This window comes from Homo sapiens, chromosome 11, assembly GCF_000001405.40.
Source record: "Homo sapiens chromosome 11, GRCh38.p14 Primary Assembly".
Taxonomy (NCBI): Eukaryota; Metazoa; Chordata; class Mammalia; order Primates; family Hominidae; genus Homo; species Homo sapiens.
This window is the reverse complement of record NC_000011.10, coordinates 79,280,368-79,300,058: the sequence shown is the minus strand read 5'-3', so window position 1 is coordinate 79,300,058 and position 19,691 is coordinate 79,280,368. Positions and strand designations below refer to the sequence as shown.

The window sequence follows — 19,691 nt, the reverse complement described above, 5'->3', positions numbered from 1 at the left end:
CTCAGGTTGGTGGGAGAAGCCTTCCTGGAAGAGGTGTCATTGGACAGAGAATGAATAGTCAGGGGTCCATTTGTGTTCCTGTTTCTGCGTAGTTTGTAGCTCATATTCAGTGCAGAAATGGGGAGCTCAGCAGAAAGCAAGCCCAACCCAGTTCTATGGGACATTCAACCTGTTTGCTCTCTGGTCATAAAAAATTCATGCCAATTAATTTAAAACCAGATGACAGGAAATGGAAGCTTAGAGCTTTAGAAAGACACTAGACAACAGCTTCGATTAGTGTCCAGTATAGTCACTTTGCCACTTTCTTCCACTTCCCCTGACCGGGTTGGGATTTTATACTCATTTGCGGTGGCAATGGCATTCCTGGGTATTAGGTTATCAGCCTTTTCTATTTCCTCGGTTACTATTTTGGATCGTTGAAGAAAGAATCACGTTCAGTTCATATTTTCAAAATGTGGTTTTAGAAATTATGCAGTTTTATACCAAAGCGCTCTTTTGGGAATGTAAATAAGTATCGATATAATCTAGTCACTTTACGGAAAAGCTGAGGACAATGTAACAAAAGAGGATGACCCTGCCTGGATTTGAAAACAACTTAATTGGTGGCCAGATGGCACAGAATTGCATATCTGGGGTCTGAGGATGGGGACAGAAACTGAGTGCGCTCCTGGGGCACTGGGGTGGGTTAGAAGCAGGCAAGCAGAGGCCTGGTCCCGGCTCCTTCAGTTACTAGCTGTGTGACCCTAGTGACTTTCTTGACATAGACTAAGTGTTAGGCATTTTTACGATTTCAGCTTTGAAAGATGAAAGACTTCAGTTCTGAAGTCACAGTGCATTGAAGGACTTCAGACCAGCTCCCCAAAGTGTAGCAGGGGCACCACTGGGAGTTGGCATAGTACATGGATGAGCGCTTTCAACTCCAAAACTAATTTATTTTAATAAATTGTGTGTGTGTATGTATGTGTGTGTGTATGTGTGTGTGTGTGTGTGTGTGTGGATACAGCACCTCACACCTATGACTTCCTAGATATTGTCCGAATGGTTTTAATGACAAATTCCTTTACGCTGTTAGCAACGTTGTTACAGAACCTATCTTAGTTGCAAGGTTGCTTTTCATAGGAGAGAAAGGGCAGAAATAGAGAGCTGCAGAAACATTTTTTGAAAATTATTTAAAAATATAGTTAAGAAAAAATATGAATTGATTTGGAAAAATTAGTAAATGATAGTAGAGGTGACACATGGATATGGCAAAAATATGAATGGGGTACCAAAATTACAGCATCAGGCCTTAGACGGCTCGCCGAGCCTTGCTGAGCTGCAGTTTTCTTCCCTGTAAACTCTCCCAGGGTGGTTATAAGGATCATGAAATCATATCTGTAGATATTATTAGCTCAATAGCTGTCACATAGTAGGGACTCAAATATAGGAGTTTCCTTCTCTTTTCCTTAGCCTTGCTTTTTCAAGTTAAAAAGGGTATCTGTGACCAGCCGGTCCAGTTTCCCTGTTTTTCTTTTTTTTTTTTTTTTTTTTTTTTTTTGAGACGGAGTCTTGCTCTGTCACCCAGGCCGGACTGCGGACTGCAGTGGCGCAATCTCGGCTCACTGCAAGCTCCGCTTCCCGGGTTCACGCCATTCTCCTGCCTCAGCCTCCCGAGTAGCTGGGACTACAGGCGCCCGCCACCGCGCCCGGCTAATTTTTTGTATTTTTAGTAGAGACGGGGTTTCACCTTGTTAGCCAGGATGGTCTCGATCTCCTGACCTCATGATCCACCCGCCTCGGCCTCCCAAAGTGCTGGGATTCCTGTTTTTCATATGAGGTAACTGAACCTAGACTAGGGAAAGACCAGTCTGAGGGCTCCAAAAGTTGCTCACTTCTCACTCTTCTGGGCTCAGGTATGGACAGTGCCTGTCAGAGACCTGACCACACACCTGGAAAGGCCTTGGAGAAACTGATGAAAAGGATGGGAAGGAAAATGAGTTAATAAGGGCAATGGTCAACTGTCACGGCCTAACACAGGTGGCAAGAGAGGAAAATCATGACTGGCGTGGTGCTTTTTAATATGGGATATCTTGATAGCCTCTGCTCTGAAAAATGGTAAACTCTATGTATAGAAGGAAAAAAAAAAGAAAAAAAAAAGCCCAAATTGTTGGACATGAATGTGTTGAGATTGTGGCCCTTTTCTTTGCTTTATTTCTCCTGGTATTTTTAATGGTCTTTTATATTTTGACATCTATGAAAAATAAAAAGTGCCCAAATGATTGGAAGGCTGAATTTTCTGTGCTGAGAGTTGGGCACCATCAGCGAGCGTCCTGCTTGACACATAACTATTAATTATCATGCGTAATTTATTATTGCACTTCATTTTTTAGTTATTTTGCAGCCCCTGACCACTCACAGTTTTCCCAGTTACCTGGAATCATAAGTAGTTGGTAACCAATTCCAGGCATAAAACCGATGATGCGTTTTAGTCCAGCGATCTCAAGGCATTAATTGTGTTTGTCTTCTTGTTTTGCAGATGGAAAAACTGAGAATCAGAGAGGGCTAGTGATCTCTCAGACACTTGGTCGGTAGGTAAGTAATGATGCTGAAAGTGAACCCAAAACAAGATATGCTTCTAGTCTGCACAACCTAACCCCTGCCAGGCCCATTGTCCCAGGCTTGTGACTTTTCTGTTTTGTGCAATTCAAGTCAGTATTGCACGAGTCAGTAAATAAGATGAGCCAGTTTGAGGCATTTGAGTATTACTTGCACTTGTGGCTTCTGTTTGCTCCCAGTGTGGAGTTGACATGTTTAACAGGTGAGTCTGTGAAGTCCTTTTAGGCCATACATGGCCAACATTGGGTCTTTCTCTGGGAATAGTGGGGCTTATTGAAAACTGGTCCATGCTGCAGTTGTTGTGACACTCACTCTCCCTTCAATAGACCCAACTGTTTGGTACGTCAAGAACAGAGAGCTCTGGACTAGTGTGGTCAAGCGTTCTGGGCTCAAGTCCTGCAATGACCTGCTCTGTGACCTTAGGCAAGCCACTTAACTCACAGATTCACTCTTTCTGCTTTCTTTCTTTCACACTGTTTTTCCCAGGGTATTTAGTCCCAGTCTCGGCGCTGGGCACTGAGAACAAGATAAATACCACATAGGCCTTTGAGGAGTTCACAACCCAATCAGTGAGTTCCTCCATTTTCCCATTATTGTCTCATTATGAGACTTTCTAGCATCTGCTTTGGGGTATACAGTTTGAAGGGTACTTTGTGATCTTTCCCACAACTCTATAACGTAGAAGGAAGTTGTTCCTGCCATTTTGCAAAGGAGAAAACGATGGCTGAAAGAGTGGGCCAAAGCCATACCTTGAGTAAGGGTTAGAGCTAGGCTTGAAACCCAGATTTACTAAATCTAAAACATTTGTTTCTAATAACAGCAGACTGTTCCACCTGGTAGTTGTAGCATCTGAATGGTCATTGTTGCATTCTACCACTTGGCAGTGAGTATCATGTTGGGGAGATTAGCAGCACTCTGGTGGTGGGATAATTTTCTGCAAGGGATTCTTTTCTGCATCTAGCTGATTCTTCCAGAAAGCAATGTTTTCTCCGCCTGAGAGTGAAGGCAGCTGTGAGCTCGCAGTAAGCTGAGAACCAAGGGAAACCTGCTCCAGGCCCAGGGCTGGCTCTACCAAGTGGCTGGGATTTAGCATATCAGAGAGAATTCACCATGGGTGGAAGGAGTGACACAGCCCCCCGGCCCCCTTCTTGTGCAGTGACCTTGCTGTAAAACTGCTGCTTTTTTACCAAAGCTTAATGATCCTGGACTCCAAGCATGGTAGCTTCTGCTTTTGCTGAGTTGTCTTGCCTCAGGCAAGACACAGAGAATGCTGTGGATTAGAGGCTATGCTCTTTGTTTATATGGATCACAACTTCTTGAGGATGAAGCTCTAGGGTTCCCTCAATGTCTGGAATTTCAAAAGGTGCACGAATGACCTCAGTGATCTGGCTTTTCTGTCTTACAATATATGTGTATGTTGCGAATTATGACCATGGTTGATGTAGATGCACCTAGAATGCTGTAATGTACATGATACGCAGCTTTTGTGGGAATGTGACTGTGAATGTGTGGGGTATGGGATTTTGGGGGAGTGTGTGTGTGTGTGTGTGTGTGTGTGTGTGTGTGTTTAATCCCTGGGAGGCAATTCTTATTAAAAAAAAAAAACACTTACGGGTGTAATTTTTCAACAAGACCTAGAAATGGGCTTTTAATAAGCCTCATTAAACTCTTTGATTACTAGGGGAGGCCAATCACTCTTTCATCTTGGCTCAGATCACAGCTCTCCCTTGCCCTCTTCTTTGGGGTCAGACAAAAATGCCTGCTATTCATATTGGTCTCTCCAAAGCCTTTTCCCCTTCACCTGCCCTCTGCAGCCCCCACTCCCACCCCAGTGCTTGTCTGATCTCTTTGCTTCAACCTCAGCACAGACAGTGCTGGTGTCAGGACTGACAGATGATAGCTGCAGGTGCTCCTGGAACCTGAGTGTCCCATGTCTTGAGTTGTTGCGGCAGGACACTTAGGGTCTTTGTTTAGGAAGCACTTTGAGCTGGGAGAGCTGGGGCTCCTTCCTTTCCCGGGGCGGGGGTCACTTACTACTGCAGGCTCTCAGCAGAATTGTGTGTGTGCAAACCCTTTCCTTTACAGGTTGAGTTTCCCCTTGTCTGACATGGGAGGAGGCGAAGCTCTGTTGAAAGGCAGGTTTTGCTCTGGACTGCCAGCATTCTGCCAGGTCTCCTGAGGAGAGCTGGTTCCCAGAGTGATTATCTTTCCTGAGCCAAGAGCCAGGTGCTCAGTGACAGGAAGAAAGGTAGGCTTAGCAACAGGCTTATCAAGCCCTGCTACAAGAATGTTCATTCGCCTAAACAGGACTGGGTTTGTGCGTTTTTGTTCCTCTCTGGGCACCGTCTCAGTTCTGGGGCTGGTGTGTTCTGAGCAGGAGTACCTCTGCTGCTTCTCAGAGGCAATGCACTCCCTGGGGTATGGGCTCCTGTCTGCGTCATCCTTGTGCATCCCACAGTAGCAGCACAGGGATGAGTGTGCAGAGGGCCAGCCAGTGTTTGTGGTCTACATAGAAGATGCTGGCTCCAGGCAGCAAATGCCCATTTGGAGTACCCATGCTTTGTATAATGGAACACACCTGCATGTAACTCTTGACTTAGCTTCTTTTTTTTTTGAGACAGAGTTTCACTCTTGTCACCCAGGCTGGAGTGCAGTGATGGGTTCTTGGCTCACTGCAACCTCTACCTCCCAGGTTCAAACGATTCTCCTGCCTCAGCCTCCCAAGCAGCTGGGATTACATGCAACCGCCACCACCCCCAGCTAATTTTTGTATTTTTAGTAGAGACAGGGTTTCACCATGTTGGCCAGGCTTGTCTCAAACTCCTGATCTCAGATGATTTGCCCACCTCATCCTCCCAAAGTGCTGGGATTACAGGCACAAGCCACCGCGCCTGGCCCCCAACTTAGCTTCTTACTGAACGAGCCTACTCACATTCTCTGTGAGATTGCAGAAAACTGATGTTGAGGGTGTGTCCTGCACAAGCCTGCTTATTCAAGGGCTAGTGGAGGCTAAAAACCAGCCTGCATTCCACCTGCCAAGCCATGTGTCCCAGAGGGGCTACATCTGCCCAGAAGAAGAGACATCTTTTTCAAATTCAGGTAAAGTCAATAACGGGGCTGGTAGTAGCCTTGTTTCTTTCAGCCTCAATTTCTTCATCATTTACCTAAATAGGCTTTAGGGATGATTTGTGATTATCCATAAAGTATAAGTGACACATAGAGACTGACAAATCATAGTGGTCATTAGTAGCTGTAATTGTAGCAGCAGTAGTAGTAGTAATGATGTCAGTAATGATAATGCCTTATTTTTGTAGTACTTTATATTTTGCAAGGTTCTTTTGTATTTGATTATTTCATTAGCCATGCATTAAAGACAGGACTAGGATTGCTCTCTCTGGGACAAAGAGAAATATGATGTGACTTGCCTACTGTGAGCCCCTGAAGGCCTGACCTGGAGACAGCATAAGCCATCCTGGCAATGATGTGAGGTCAAGGTATGCAAAACTGGGGATGCCTGGGAGAGCTCAGAACCTCTTTCTGCCTACAGGTCCATGCCCATTATCTACCTTGGTCCTAGAGGGCCTGCCCTATTTAGAACATTCTGCCTGGTTCTTGCCAGAAACCCCATTGGTGTGCTAGCCTCTGGTCCCTGTGGCTGCAGTCATTGGCTCAGAACGGGGTCCAAACCGGGTAAGCCATTGAGCATCAGAGTCCTGCCTCACAGCCTAGGTGGACATGTTGCCTGGGCCTTCAAAGCCACCCAGACAGACTCTCTAGGGGTGAGGAACAATAGCCATCTCGCATGCATTTTCCAAACACCCCTTAGTCGCTGCACTTCAACTCTAGCCAACAGACATTTATGAAGCACCTACCATATACAAGACACTCTGGTGACATCTTACATACAATTTTTCCCTAACACTTTTTTTTCTTTTTTTTTTTCTTTTTTTTTTTTAAGGGACAGTGTTTTGCTCTGTCACCCAGGCTGGAGCACAATAATGTGATCACAGCTCACTGCAGCCTCAAACGTCTGGGCTCAAGTGATCTTCCTGCCTCAGCCTCCCAAGTAGCTAGGACCACAGGCATATACCACCATGCCTGGCTAATTGTTTTATTTTTAGTAGAGATGGGGTTTCACTATGTTGCCAAGTGTGACCCACCGTGCCCATCCTACTTTTTCTGACTTCTGTACCTATTTACAAGATGAATAACCAAGTGTCAAAGAGTTAATAAATATGCCAAAGATTTCATAATTATTCAGTGGTAATGCTGGGATTTGAACTCACATATTTAGACTAGAAAGATTATGTACTTGACTTACATAAAGCATGTAGCACACAGTGGCTAGCAAAAAATGGTTGTCACCCATTAGTGATAGTGTTTTAAAAAGTGATTATTAATAAAGTACTTACCATCCTGCATCCTAACTGCTGGTTCTCCTGTGGTCCTTTCCCATTGGACTGTGAGGTTTCTGAGGGCAGAAACTGGGAGTCTCAGCCTTTAACAGGGTACAGGGTTTATAGCAACTGATTGATAAGTGAATGACTAACAATATTGAAAATGGCTACATGGCTATTTGCTAAGCATAGTGCTAAGTGCCTTATATATATTATTTTAATTCTCAAAGCAACCCTATAAGATAGATACTATTATTAAAGCCATTTTACACTAAAGAAAAGACCTTAAAGAGTTTTGAATAACTTTCCCAGGTTGCATAGCTGGTAAGTGGCTGAGCTGGGAATGGGACCCAGCTTGACTGACATGAAAGCTTGGTGCTTAATGTCTCACCCAGATATACTGGCCTCCTGCAGGTGTTCCTGCATGTGCCCTAGCCACAGCCGATGCCCATGGCCCCTTCAGAGAATTACTGGGAAGCTACCATTCAAATCCATTGCCTTCTAATGCAGGGCTATGAGAGGTTTCCATTTAGAAGAGACAAAGCTGGTGAAGGCTAGGAAGCTGTAGTTATGTATGAAAGACAGCATGAAAAGCCACTGATAGAATTAGCAAGAAAAGGGTGACTTCCTGGGGAACAAACCCAATTTGTAAGACACAAGTAGGGGCAAAATCAGCCTCAAGAGGTACAGTCGTTTGAGCTCCATGGAAAACAGTGGGGAAATGTTTCAGTGGCATTTACTGTGAGTATTTCTTGAGTTTGGCAAGTCCACTACAGCATGCTCATTGGTGGTCGAGGGCAGGAGAAAGGGGAGGTCTTGGTGCATTGCTCTCAAGGGAGGGCTTTTGCTTCTAGTGCCTTCCCCAAGACCTCATGGACCGTTGACTTGTTTCATCATGTGGAGCTTCATCTTATGCAAGCTGAAGAAACAGTATGCCGGTTTCATTGCTGCAAGATAATTGACCCCTTGTGACTTCATCCAGAAGGTAGCAGCAACATGTGCTCTTAGTGAAAGATCAGCAGCTGGGAGACACATATGAGCTGGGAAAGAGAGGGGCTTGGAGTGGCTCTGGACGACCTGGGCAGGACTAGGATTCTGATCCCTGACTCCTGCCAGCACCAGGGCTCAATTTGCATGAATCAAGGCTGTGTTCTAAGTCCTGGGACTGCAGTGAGGGGTGCTAGTGCCCTCATCTATAAAAGCTAGAACAGGAACAAGTGCTTGGGGAGACTACATATGAATACTCATTGGCAGAGGGAGAAGTATGCTGATTAACAGCATGATGACCTGTCAGAGCCTTCATGGACTTGTCTTTGGGTGGAACCAGGGCTTTGCCCTTTTGGAGGCTGGCCCTGTACACTGGAGTAATAATACTGCGCCTGGAAGCTGGACACTGAAGGCACTTACTTCCCCACTTCCACCCCCTCGGCCCAGCAATGGCTTTTAAATCATGCTCTGCAGAGCCCTGAGAGGTTAATGAAATCCTCTCTGGGATTTCCATAGGAGATAGGCAGATTTTCTGCTGACTTCTAGGCCCCCACCCTGCAGATCCTCTTCTCCCTGTTTGCAGGGTGGGCTTCCTTGTTGCTAGGGTGGATGTTTGGCTGGCACACCCCCCCATGACCATGCTGTTTGGTTGTAGCTGATCTCCATTCTCATTGGCAGTGTGCCTGTACCACAGCAATTATTAAATGTTTTGAATTTTACTCTTGTTTGCAAACCTTCTTTGGACAGAGGAAAACCGTGCTGTTCCATGCCAGCTGCATCCTAACTTAGGCACATCATACCAGTGATCAACCTTCAAGCCACTGCTACACAGAACTAAAGCAGTTTTTTGTCTTTGAGAAGGGTTTTCTGTGCTTCCCCGTGCATCCTAGGGTCACAGAGTCACCTGGATGTCACCAATCCACATGGCTATGTGGGGTTTGGCTATTTGTTTACTGCCCATCTGCCCCCACCACCATCACCACTCCACCCAGAGCCACCACAGCAAAAACCCTGGTTTTCTTGCAGTGGCAGATCTGAAAGCTGGAGTTTGTCTTTTCCATCCCAGCCCCTGGCATGTCTCTTCAGGAGGCAGATAGCATGCTTCATTGCCTGCCTGTGGACCTGGCTCCCAGATTCACTCAGCTGTGCCTTTACAAACAAACAGCTCTAAATGAGCAGGATGTGCCAGCTTTTCTGGGAGGATTCCTTATGAGTACCTACTATGTACTTTGCATTCATTCTCCCATTTAAATGTCACATCTTTCCCTGTTTGGTGTCATTCCAGTTGCACAGATGAGGGAACACAGAATAAGCCACTTTCTCAATAATGAGTTTCCCATCAATAAAATGGTCCAAAGAGGAAGAAGACAGTCATTTGTTGTGGTGGTATCAGGGATTCTAGCACTGGATGGTTAGATCATCTTCTGGATTACAGGATGCTCATCAGTGCTTGTTCCAGGATCTGATCACCACCGAGATCCCTGGATACTGCAGTGGTACAAAGGGAGCGATGGTGAGGGGAGTTCCCAAGCCACTTCCATTGTTTTCTAGAAATCACACACTGATTTCTAAGAAAGCAGCAGAGGTAGACACTTTCTGCCTGTGACTGGATTGATCGGATGCCAAAAAACCCAGATTCTAGTCTAGGTTCTGCAATAAGTCTTCTAGGTGACTTGGGAAATCATTTAGCCTTTCTCTTCCTTTTGCTCAAAAGAAATAACAATAACCTTAAAGAGTTGCTATGTTTATAAAATATTACATACATATAAATTGAAAGCATTATGCCAATGAGAGTTATTAGCACATATTCTTCATCCTCCTACTGACACCTTTGATCTAAAATGATTTTAAAAAGTGAGTCACGGATAAATGCTATCTCTTCTAGAGTTGGAGGCTGGGAGGAGAACTGACTGAGAATGAGAGGAATAGAGCCAACCCATCATTTATAGATTAGAGAGCCTCCAAGCCTAACTAAAGTAGAAACTGCTGGGAGCAGTGGCTCATGCCTGTAATCCCAACCCTTTGGGAGGCTGAGGTGGGCGGATCACCTGAGGTCAGGAGTTCAAGACCCGCCTGGCTAACATGGCAAAACCCCATCTCTACTTAAAAAAAAAGAAAAAGAAAAAGAAAGAAAAAAGGTAGAAACTTACCTCTAACCTAGGCAAAAGAGAAGAAAGAATTGATAACTTATCTTTGAATTACCTTGCCACCAAGGGAAAAAGAGAAAGCTAATGGATTACAAATTATTCCCCTTGGTTAACGTTGAGTCTTCCTTTGTTGAGGAGTAAGTAAACATAGATGACAAGCTATTAGCTAAGCAGAGAGAGGTATAGTTTGTGCAGGAATGGCAAATACTTGATGTAGTAGGTTGAATTCGCCAGAACCAGACTCTAGGACAGAGATTTGCATGCAGAAAGTTTATTGGAGCATGCTCTTAGGATCAGCACCTGTAAGGGAGTAAGGGAAGAAAGGGAGGAGTTGAGCTGCAAAGCAATCACAGCAAAAATGTCAGCTGATTCCACAGGGAACTCTGGAGCTGGGATGGTCTTCAGATGTCTCACATTGAGCCAAAGGGAGTTGGCCTTGTTGCCCACTGCAGTGACAGCTGTGGACTGCCCACAGGTGACAGCTCTCTTGGGCTGAAGGCCATTCCTGGAGACTCAACTGATACCTGTCAGCAGCCAACAGCAACAGTCCCTGCAGCTGGAGGAATGAGTGTCTCAGTCCCAAAGAAGGTAGTCAGGGTGGCACATCACAGCATTAACTACATTTGGCCTGTGGGCTGCCATTCTTTTCTCCCACTCCCCTGCAAACACCACTGTTGAAACAACTCTTTACCACTGCATTCAGATGAGGGCTCAGAATTTTTTCAAACACAATACTTTGGATAAACATTATCAATCATCTGGAATTTGCTCATGAAAAAGGATCCTATTTGCTACCTTTGCCCTCTACACGTGTAGGAAACATTTATTGATGGTGTCATAATAAGTCTTGAGTGTTATGATTGCTCTTTCAAGATCAAACAGTTGGCAAACCTTAGACAATTCCCTGTACGTCTCCTGGGAGACAAGATTTTCTCTTATTTTTCCTTATGATGGCCTCTCACCACACTTCATCCAAGCTCTGACTTATTTTCCCCTTACCCTAGTAAATGCAGTTTTCCCTATGGTTCATTTTTTTTTTCTCTTTTTTAATTTACCACACACTATCTTGTCATCTCACCCATTCTTATTTCAACCAGCAGCCCACCTTAGACATCCCTCCTTCCCCCTAGTTTTATATTTCCAATCATCCACTAAATCTGTCCACCTGCTTAGCCTCTCTAGCCTCCATACAAACAGCAAATTACATTCACATTAGCCAGGAAAGAAGCTGACACTTAGCTCTCTCAAGATGCTTTCAGAAGATGTAACGTCTTGCAAGAGACGGAGCCGGGTGTTATCATGGATCTGAAGATAAGCTGGGATTTATCGTAGGTCTGTTGTCTCCCAAAGCCTGTGCTCTTTCTTCCGTACCTTTGAAATATTTGTTGGGATGATCTCTTCATGAATCCAGATTCTCTTTACTGAGCTTTGCCAGAGTTCCCTGTGGAATCAGCGGAGAAGCCTACATAGTTTGATTTTCAATCCCACAGGTCATTGTGAATAACTGCAGAGTGATAAGAGTTACTTCACCCCAGTGGGTGAGCTGGGGACATTTCTGCTTTCACTGAACAGAGTATAGAGTGCTAGGCACAGCCTGGCTTTTAAGTCTACTAGCTTACTGTTTCATTTACTTCTGAAGATATTCCAGTGGTAAGGAGACTTTGGGATCACAAACTCACAGTCAGGGTCTAAGGGTTGGGGAGACACTGAAGCCAAGTAAAGGGCTGGTTATGGCTTTTGATAAATGAGAACTGTGGCCAGTCCAGCTGGCCAGGTGCCAAAAGCCTAGCAGTTTCACAAGGGGACCAACCTGGGTTTCTGTGCTGAATGCCTGTGCCTATATCTACCATCCTTCTCCTTCAAGGAAGAGGTATTTGGTAGAGAGGTCTTTTGCTTTTAGCTGAGGGCCAGTTCCATTGAAACCAAAGATCAATTAGGCTGTTGGGGTTCCCACTGAGGCCCCTATTCTGTACCAGATATTCAGCTAAGCATCCCACTCCTTCACCCTTAAGGTGTGGGCTGATGTGTTTTTGGTGTTGCTTAAATAGCAGACATGGGCCCCACAGCTTCCTGATGCAGTGTGACTTCTGAGCTCTGACAGTTTGTTGATAATACCCTCTGCCCTTGAGACAATTACTTTTTTGCCTAGGGAAGAATCTAGAATCCTCATGATGAGTGAAAAGATGGGCTGATTTGAGTCCTCACTCTCTTTTTTGCTACAGATTTGCTATGTGATCTTAGACAGTCACTTGACCTTTCTGGTCCTCAGTGTTACCTCAGTGTCAGTGTTGAAAATGGCCATTATAATGCATCAAGCACCCTACTTGTTGGGGAACCAGGAGTATAATATAGGTGCTCTATAAATGATGGATGTTTCCCTTCCTCACCCCCAACTCATTACTTAGTGAGGTCTCTGGAGAAGTGTTTACTAGACATTCATGATCTACAGAACATGGATATTTTCTCAAGGACTACATTAAATCTTTGTTGGATGACCCAGGGCTGGATGGGTCTGGGGGTCATCATCTGGCACGCTTTCTCACTGGACCCTGAGGAGACTAGGTTCCGTACCCAATACTTTCTACCAGCCATGATGTGGAGAAGATTCCTCTTCATTTTCTGGTACTTCACCTATTCCATCTTCCTTTCTAATGGCATGTAACCAAGAATGTTCAGAAGAGGCCACCAGGGCAGAGTGAAAGTCATCCTGCCCCATGTGCTGGTTTTATAAAACGAGAACACTCTCATGATCCCTCCAAGACTTAGTCTTCTCGTTTATAAAGTAGGGCAATACTACTTTCCTTAGTAGCATTCTCTGAGAATTGCATGTGATAATACACATGAAAGCACACTTCGCAACAAACATATGCAAATGTAAAATTCTATCTCCTACGAGTTTTTATTTCTTGGTCTGGCCCCTTCACCAATAGCTCCCAACACAAGTTCCTGAATGTATGTGGTCTATGCAGACAGCTTATCCAACATGCTATTTGTGGCTATCAAGTTTCCTGATGAACTTTTAAAATTTATTTATGTGTTTGTTTTCCTCTCTAAATTCTAAGATGTTTAAGAATGAGGTCCAATCTTAATTCATCTATTTCCCAATTATGTAATAGATGCTCCATAATTGTTTGAGGAAATAAATGAAGATGAAAGAAAATTAGAATGATGAGTACCTGCTTCATATCTGCTTATGTAATCCTCACGCCAGTCCTAAAGGTTTGTGTTATTTCCACTTCTATTTAAAAAAAAATTTTTTTTTTGAGACGGAGTTTCGCTCTTGTTGCCCAGGCTGGAGTGCCGTGGCACGATTCTGGCTCACTGCAACCTCTGCCTCCTGGGTTCAATCAATTCTCCTGCCTCAGCCTCCCAAGCAGCTGGGATTACAGGTGTCCACCACCACACCCAGCTAATTTTTTTTTTTTTTTTTTTTGGATTTTTTAGTAGAGACGGGGTTTCACCATGTTGGCCAGGCTGGTCTCAAACTTCTGACCTCAGGTGATCCCCCCCACCTCCACCTCCCAAAGTGCTAGAATTACAGGTATGAGCCACCGTGCCCATCCTATTTCTACTTATAGAAAACAAAAATTGAGGTCAAACGTGAAGCCACTTACCCAGAATACATAGTAACTAGTAGAGCAAGGGATGATGGCCTTAGACTCCTGGACTCCAGAGCGAGTGCTCATATTCTCTACTTCATTTTCTCTCGCTCCCTTTCTCTTTTTTTCACATTATTATTGTGCAAACAACATGGAAACAATAATAAAAGAAAACAGAAATACAATCACCTTTCATTGCACCACTTCTAGCAAATCAGCTGTTTCCATTTTTTCCACATTCCCTATAGCCTCTTTCTTGCATACGTTTTCTGTAGCAGCATTATTGAGATATAATTCACGTGCTATAAAATTTACCCTTTTAAAGTAACATTTCAGTATTTTTTTAGTCTATTCACAGAGTTGTGCAACCATCACCACAATCTAACTTTAGAACATTTCATCACCCCAAAAAAGAAACCCTTTGCTCATTAGCAGTCATTCCCCATACCCTGCTCCCCCTAGCCCTTGCCAACCACTCCACTAATCTACTTTCTCCCTCTTTATGGACTTGCCTGTTCTGAACATTTTATATAAATGGAATCATACAAGATGTTGCCTTTGTGTCTGTTTTTTTTTTGGTTTTTTTCACTTAGCATAATGTCTTCAAGGTTTATCCATGTTAGGCATGAATCAATACTTTATTCTTGATACACCAACACCCATACCCACCCACACACACACACACACATACCACATTTTGTTTATCCATTTATCAGTTGATGGGCATTAGGGTTATTTCCATTTTTAACTATTATGAATAATGATGCTATGAACATTCATGGACAAGTTTTTATGTGGACATAAATTTCAGTTCTTTGGGGTATATATCTAGCAGTGATATTGCTAGGTCATATGGCAACACTATGATTAACATTTTTAGCAACTGCCAACCTATTTTCAAATATAGCTACGCCATTTCACAATACCACCAGCAATGTATGACATTTCCAATTTTTTTACATCCTTTTCAATACTTTTTATGTCTTTTTTATTTCCTTGTGGGTTTGAAGTGGTATGTTATTGTGGCTTTGATTTGGATTTCCCTAATGATGAATGATACTCAGCATCTCTCTTTTTTTTTATTTATTTATTTTTTTGAAACTGAGTCTTTCTCTGTTGCCAGGCTAGAGTGCAGTGACAAGATCTTGGCTCACTGCAACCTCTGCCTCCCAGGTTAAAGCAATTCTCCTGCCTCATCCTCCCAAGTAGCTGGGACTACAGATGCCCACCACCATGCCCAGCTAATTTTTGTATTTTTAGTAGAGACGGGGTTTCACCATGTTGGCCAGGATGGTCTTGATCTCTTGACCTCGTGATCTGCCCACCTCTGCCTCCCAAAGTATGCTGGGATTACAGGCGTGAGCCACCGTGCCTGGCCAATATTCACCATCTTTACATGTTCTTATGGCAATTTTTTCTTGTCTTCTTTGGAGAAATATTTATTCAAGTCCTTTGCCTATTTTTTAATTTGGGTTTTATGTTGTTTATTGTTGAGTTATAAGAGTTCTTTATATATTCTGGATACAATTGTCTGATATATGATTTGCAATTTTTTTCCCATTCTGTGAGTTATCTTTTTACTCTCTTGATAATGTTCTTTGAAGAACAAAACTTTTTCATTTTGAAAGAGTCCAATGTATCTACATTTTTTCTTTTGTCACTTGTGCTTTTGGTGTCACATCTAAGAAACCATAGCTTAATCTAAAGTAATGAGAATTTATTCCTGTTTTCTCTTAAGAGTTTTATATTTTTAGATTTACACATGGATCTATGATCCACTTTGAGTTAATCCTTGTATTTTGTGTGAGGTCTGGAGCAAACTTCATTCTTTCGCATGTGGATATTCAGTTATCTTGGCATCATTTCCTGACAAGACTTTCTTATTGAATTGTCTTGGTACTCTTGTCAAAAATCAAATGACTATAAATGTGAGGGTTTATTTCAAGACTCTAAATTTGATTCCATTGATCTATATATCTACTCATATGCCAGTACCACATTATCTTGAATACTGTAGCTTCGTAGTAAATTTTGACATTGAGATGTGGGGTTCCTCCAACGTTGTTCTTCTTTTTAAGGATTATGTGAATATTCTGTGTTCCTTGCATTTCCATATAAAGTTCAGGATACACTAGTAAATTTCTACAAAAGAGAATCCAGCTGAGATTTTGGTAGGGAATACATTAAATCTATAAATAAATTTGGGGAATATTTTTATCCAAACAATATTAAATCTCCCAATCCACAAACATGAGATATCTTCCCATTTATTCAAGGCGGCTTTAATTTCTTTTTAATCTGTTTTATAATATTTAGTATACAAGTCTTTCACTTCTTTTTTTAAATTTATTCTTAAATACTTTATCCTTTTTGATGCTATTATAAATGGAATTATTTTCTTGATTGCATTTTTGGATTGTTCATTGCTAGTGTATAGAAATACAACTGATTGTACATTGATCTGGTATCCTTCAAACTTGCTGAACTTGTTTATTCTAATAGCTCTTTTGTGGATTCCTTAGGATTTTCTATATATAAGACCTTGTTATTGATGAGTAGAGATAGTTTTATTTCTTCGTTTCTCCAATCTGAATGTCTTTATTTCTTTTTGTTAACTAATTTTCCTGGTTAGAACCTCCAGTACAGTATTCAAAGAAGTGATGAGAGCAGTCACCTTGCCTTGTTTCTAATCTTAGGGGGAAAGCTTTTAGTCTTTCACCATTAAGTAGAATGTTAGATGTGAGTTTTTTGTAGATGACCTCTATCAAGTTAAGTATTTCTTCTATTTATAGTTTGTTGGGTTTTTTTGTCACAAAAGGATGTTAGATTTTGTGAAGTGCTTTTTCCATGTCTAATGACATAATCGTGTGGTTTTTGTCTTTTATGGTCTTAATGTGGTCTATTACATTGATTGGTTTTTGTATGTTAAACCGACCTTGAATTCCTTAATAAATCCCACTTGGTCATGGTGTATAGTTCTTTTTACGTGTTGTTGGATTCAATTTAATGTTATCTTATTGAAGATTTTTATATTTTTATAAAAATTTGTATTTTTCTATTTTTGGGAGATATTCATCTGTACTTGTGTGTGTGTGTGTGTGTGTGTGTGTGTGTGTGTGTTTGTGTGTGTGTGATGTCTTTGTCTGATTTTACTATCAGAATAATGCTGGTCTCATAGAATGAGTTGGAAGGATTCCCTCCTTTTGTATTTCTTGTAAGAGTTTTATAAAGAATTTGTGTTAATCTTGACTGTATTTTGGAAAACTTTAAAAGGTGGTGATAAGAACAAGGCTTACTACAGCTAATAGTCATGCCTTATCATGTGCTTGTGTCAGAAAAACAACAACAACAACATCCTACAAATGCCAGAAACAACACTGCAGTGAAGCCTGAAAATTTCCTTACGGGCAGGGCAGTGAGTCTCTGGCCATTATGCCAGGCAAGGTGCTTAATACTGGGGACCCAGCCTGGGACAGAATGCTATAATTCCTGCCTTTTTCCTGCAGTTTTTTTTTTTCCAATTTTAAATATTTCCACACAAATGCCTGAATAAATACTCCATTGAAGCAAAACTTTCTCCTTCATAACAGATAAGAGATTGGCCTCTGGACCACATGCTGAACAAGACCAATGCTTACACCATTATCTCCCCTGGAATCCATCCTGTCCTCCTAGAAAATCAAAATATCCACAAGTATTAATAGCTTGCCATTCAGGTTAACAAAAGAATCAAGTGTTTGTTTTTGTTGTTTTTTAACACGTAAAAATGAGGAAAGAATGTTACTGGCTGAAATTGGTTAGAACAGAGAAGCAAGAGTATGAGATTGCACCCTGGAAGCCAGCAGTTTCTCTGCAGTAAAGATAATGATGTGAGTCCCTGAACATGTCTAAAAGAGAGTTTTGAATTGTGGCCATTCATTTATTCAGCAGTCACTTCATTAATTCATTCAGCAACGATTTATGAAGCTCCTTTCCTGTGCCAGGCCCTGGAGTATCGGGTCACACAGAAAGAAATCCATCTGGGTCTCTGCTCCTAAGGGCCACCCAATCTGATGAGGGATATTGGACTCTATACAAACAATTGCTACCAAACATGATCAAGACTATAATGTAGGCATAAAGGGGGCCACAGAAATGTAGAGAAAGGAGAGATCATTTTACATCCTTTTCAGTACTTTTTAATGTCTTTTTTGTTTCCTTGCGGGTTTGAAGTGGTATCTCATTGTGGCTTTGATTTGGATTTCCCTAATGATGAATGATATTCAGCATCTTTACATGTTCAGAGGAATGTCAGAGGAAATGTGATCCACATGGAATCATGAAAGATGCATAGGAATCTGCCTAGTGGGCCTGTGGGACAGGGCCTTCCAGGCCCAAGCAGAACCAGCAGTTCAGTGAGAAGAGTCTAACTGCACATTCAGAGACATTCACAAGGGCTCAAAGGTACAGCGCTGAATTGGAGAGACCCCAGAAGGCGGACCTTAAAGGACCTGCTTTGTGAAGGAGTCTGAACTTTATCCTGGGACATTAAAGGTTTTAATGGTTTGGGACCTTTTTCTAGAACCCAGTTATGCCAGAGAGGCAGAATTGATATGAGATTTGGTGACAAAGGCCATTGTAGCCCTTGCAGAATTGTCCTTAGATGGGATGCAGGCCTCCTGGGGACTTGTCATCAAGCATACCCCCGCTAGGAGCCTTATTTTCCCTCCATGGCCCTACAGAGAGCCATCCCACATCACCAAGAGGTCAAACTAAAAGTTTTTAATTCTGATCTTGACTATGATTTCCAAGCTGGGGCAGATAACTCTGAATTTCACTTTCTCAGTGATAAAATAAGGACCTTGATGCCTACTTCCTAGGGTTGTCGTGATAAATTAAAACTAAAAAAGCATTCTCCAAAAACTTTCAACAATCTCCACTGGACTAAAGATGGACCCATCTCTTATGAAAATAAGACTATCAATGTTGGGAGCTACACAGACCTGGGTTCAAAGCCCAACTCTCCCAATGGCTGCTTGACCGTAGACAAATCAGTGAACTTTCTGAGTCTCCATCTCCTCCTCTGTGAAATAAAAATGATCATAATACCTCCCTATGGGGATTGCTGAGAGGAGTAAGTATAATAATCACTGTGCTGTTCCTGGGCATATCAAAGGTGCTAAGGAGTTGCCTTTGAGTCTGAATGTGAACAAGGAAGCTCCCGGAAGGCTGAGGTGCATCTCCTTCATCTCTATATGCAGAGCGTAACGCCATCATTTGACGCCTAAAGACAGCCCAGTGTTTTTGTAGTTGAATTCATTTGCAGCTCTCAACCCTTTACTCATTCCAGGTTTCTGTCCAGTGGAAAAACAAATTGACTGTGACCTTTTAGAAATCTAAATAAATCAATGAAGAAAAAAGATGTTAAACCACCTCATTTTATGTGTTTATTTTGCCGAGTGGGCCAACCAGGTATTAATTAGTTTGGGCTTCCCTAAGGGAGCAGGCAGGGCCCACAGCTCCTGCTCCCACTAACCCAGCCTGGCTGTCCCAGATTTTCCAGCTGAAAGGTAGACCAGCATCTCTTTCGCACTGGGGAGTTTAACCTGGGAGAGATATGTCCTTAATGATGTTTCATACCCAGGGGCCTCTCAAGAAAAGAGCTTCAGGAGGGTTAATTGGGACAGGTGACTACAGGAGCCACAGGCTTGGAGGCAGGGACACGGAGAGATGGGAATCACAGCCTCCTATGTGTCCCGGGGCCAGGCGTGGGTGATTACAGCAGCCCTAAAGCAGGTGTAGTATAGTCTGTGCTCCGGCTCGCTTCTTCCCTGTGTGGTTCCCATGTGTGGCATCCACTGCTTCTCCTGTTCCCACTCAAATGGGAGGGGGCCAGCTAAGGGACTTACAAAGCCCAGAGCCAGGCCCTGGAGCTGTGGTGGCACCTTGCTAGGTCTCCAGCAACTTCACTTAGTGGGTGGCAGGCT

The 19,691-nt window shown here is 42.8% G+C and overlaps 1 protein-coding gene across 5 annotated transcripts in view; it reads left to right on the top strand.

Annotated features, from left to right (window-relative positions):
* TENM4 (teneurin transmembrane protein 4) overlaps window positions 1-19,691 on the top strand; it is a 788,202-nt gene that overhangs the window by 140,972 nt on the left and 627,539 nt on the right. For all 5 annotated transcript variants that reach the window (XM_047426739.1, XM_047426737.1, XM_047426736.1 and 2 more), the window contains exon 2: window positions 2,516-2,571. The gene's annotated coding sequence lies outside the window, so the exon portion shown is untranslated. The remainder of the gene's footprint in view (window positions 1-2,515; window positions 2,572-19,691) is intronic.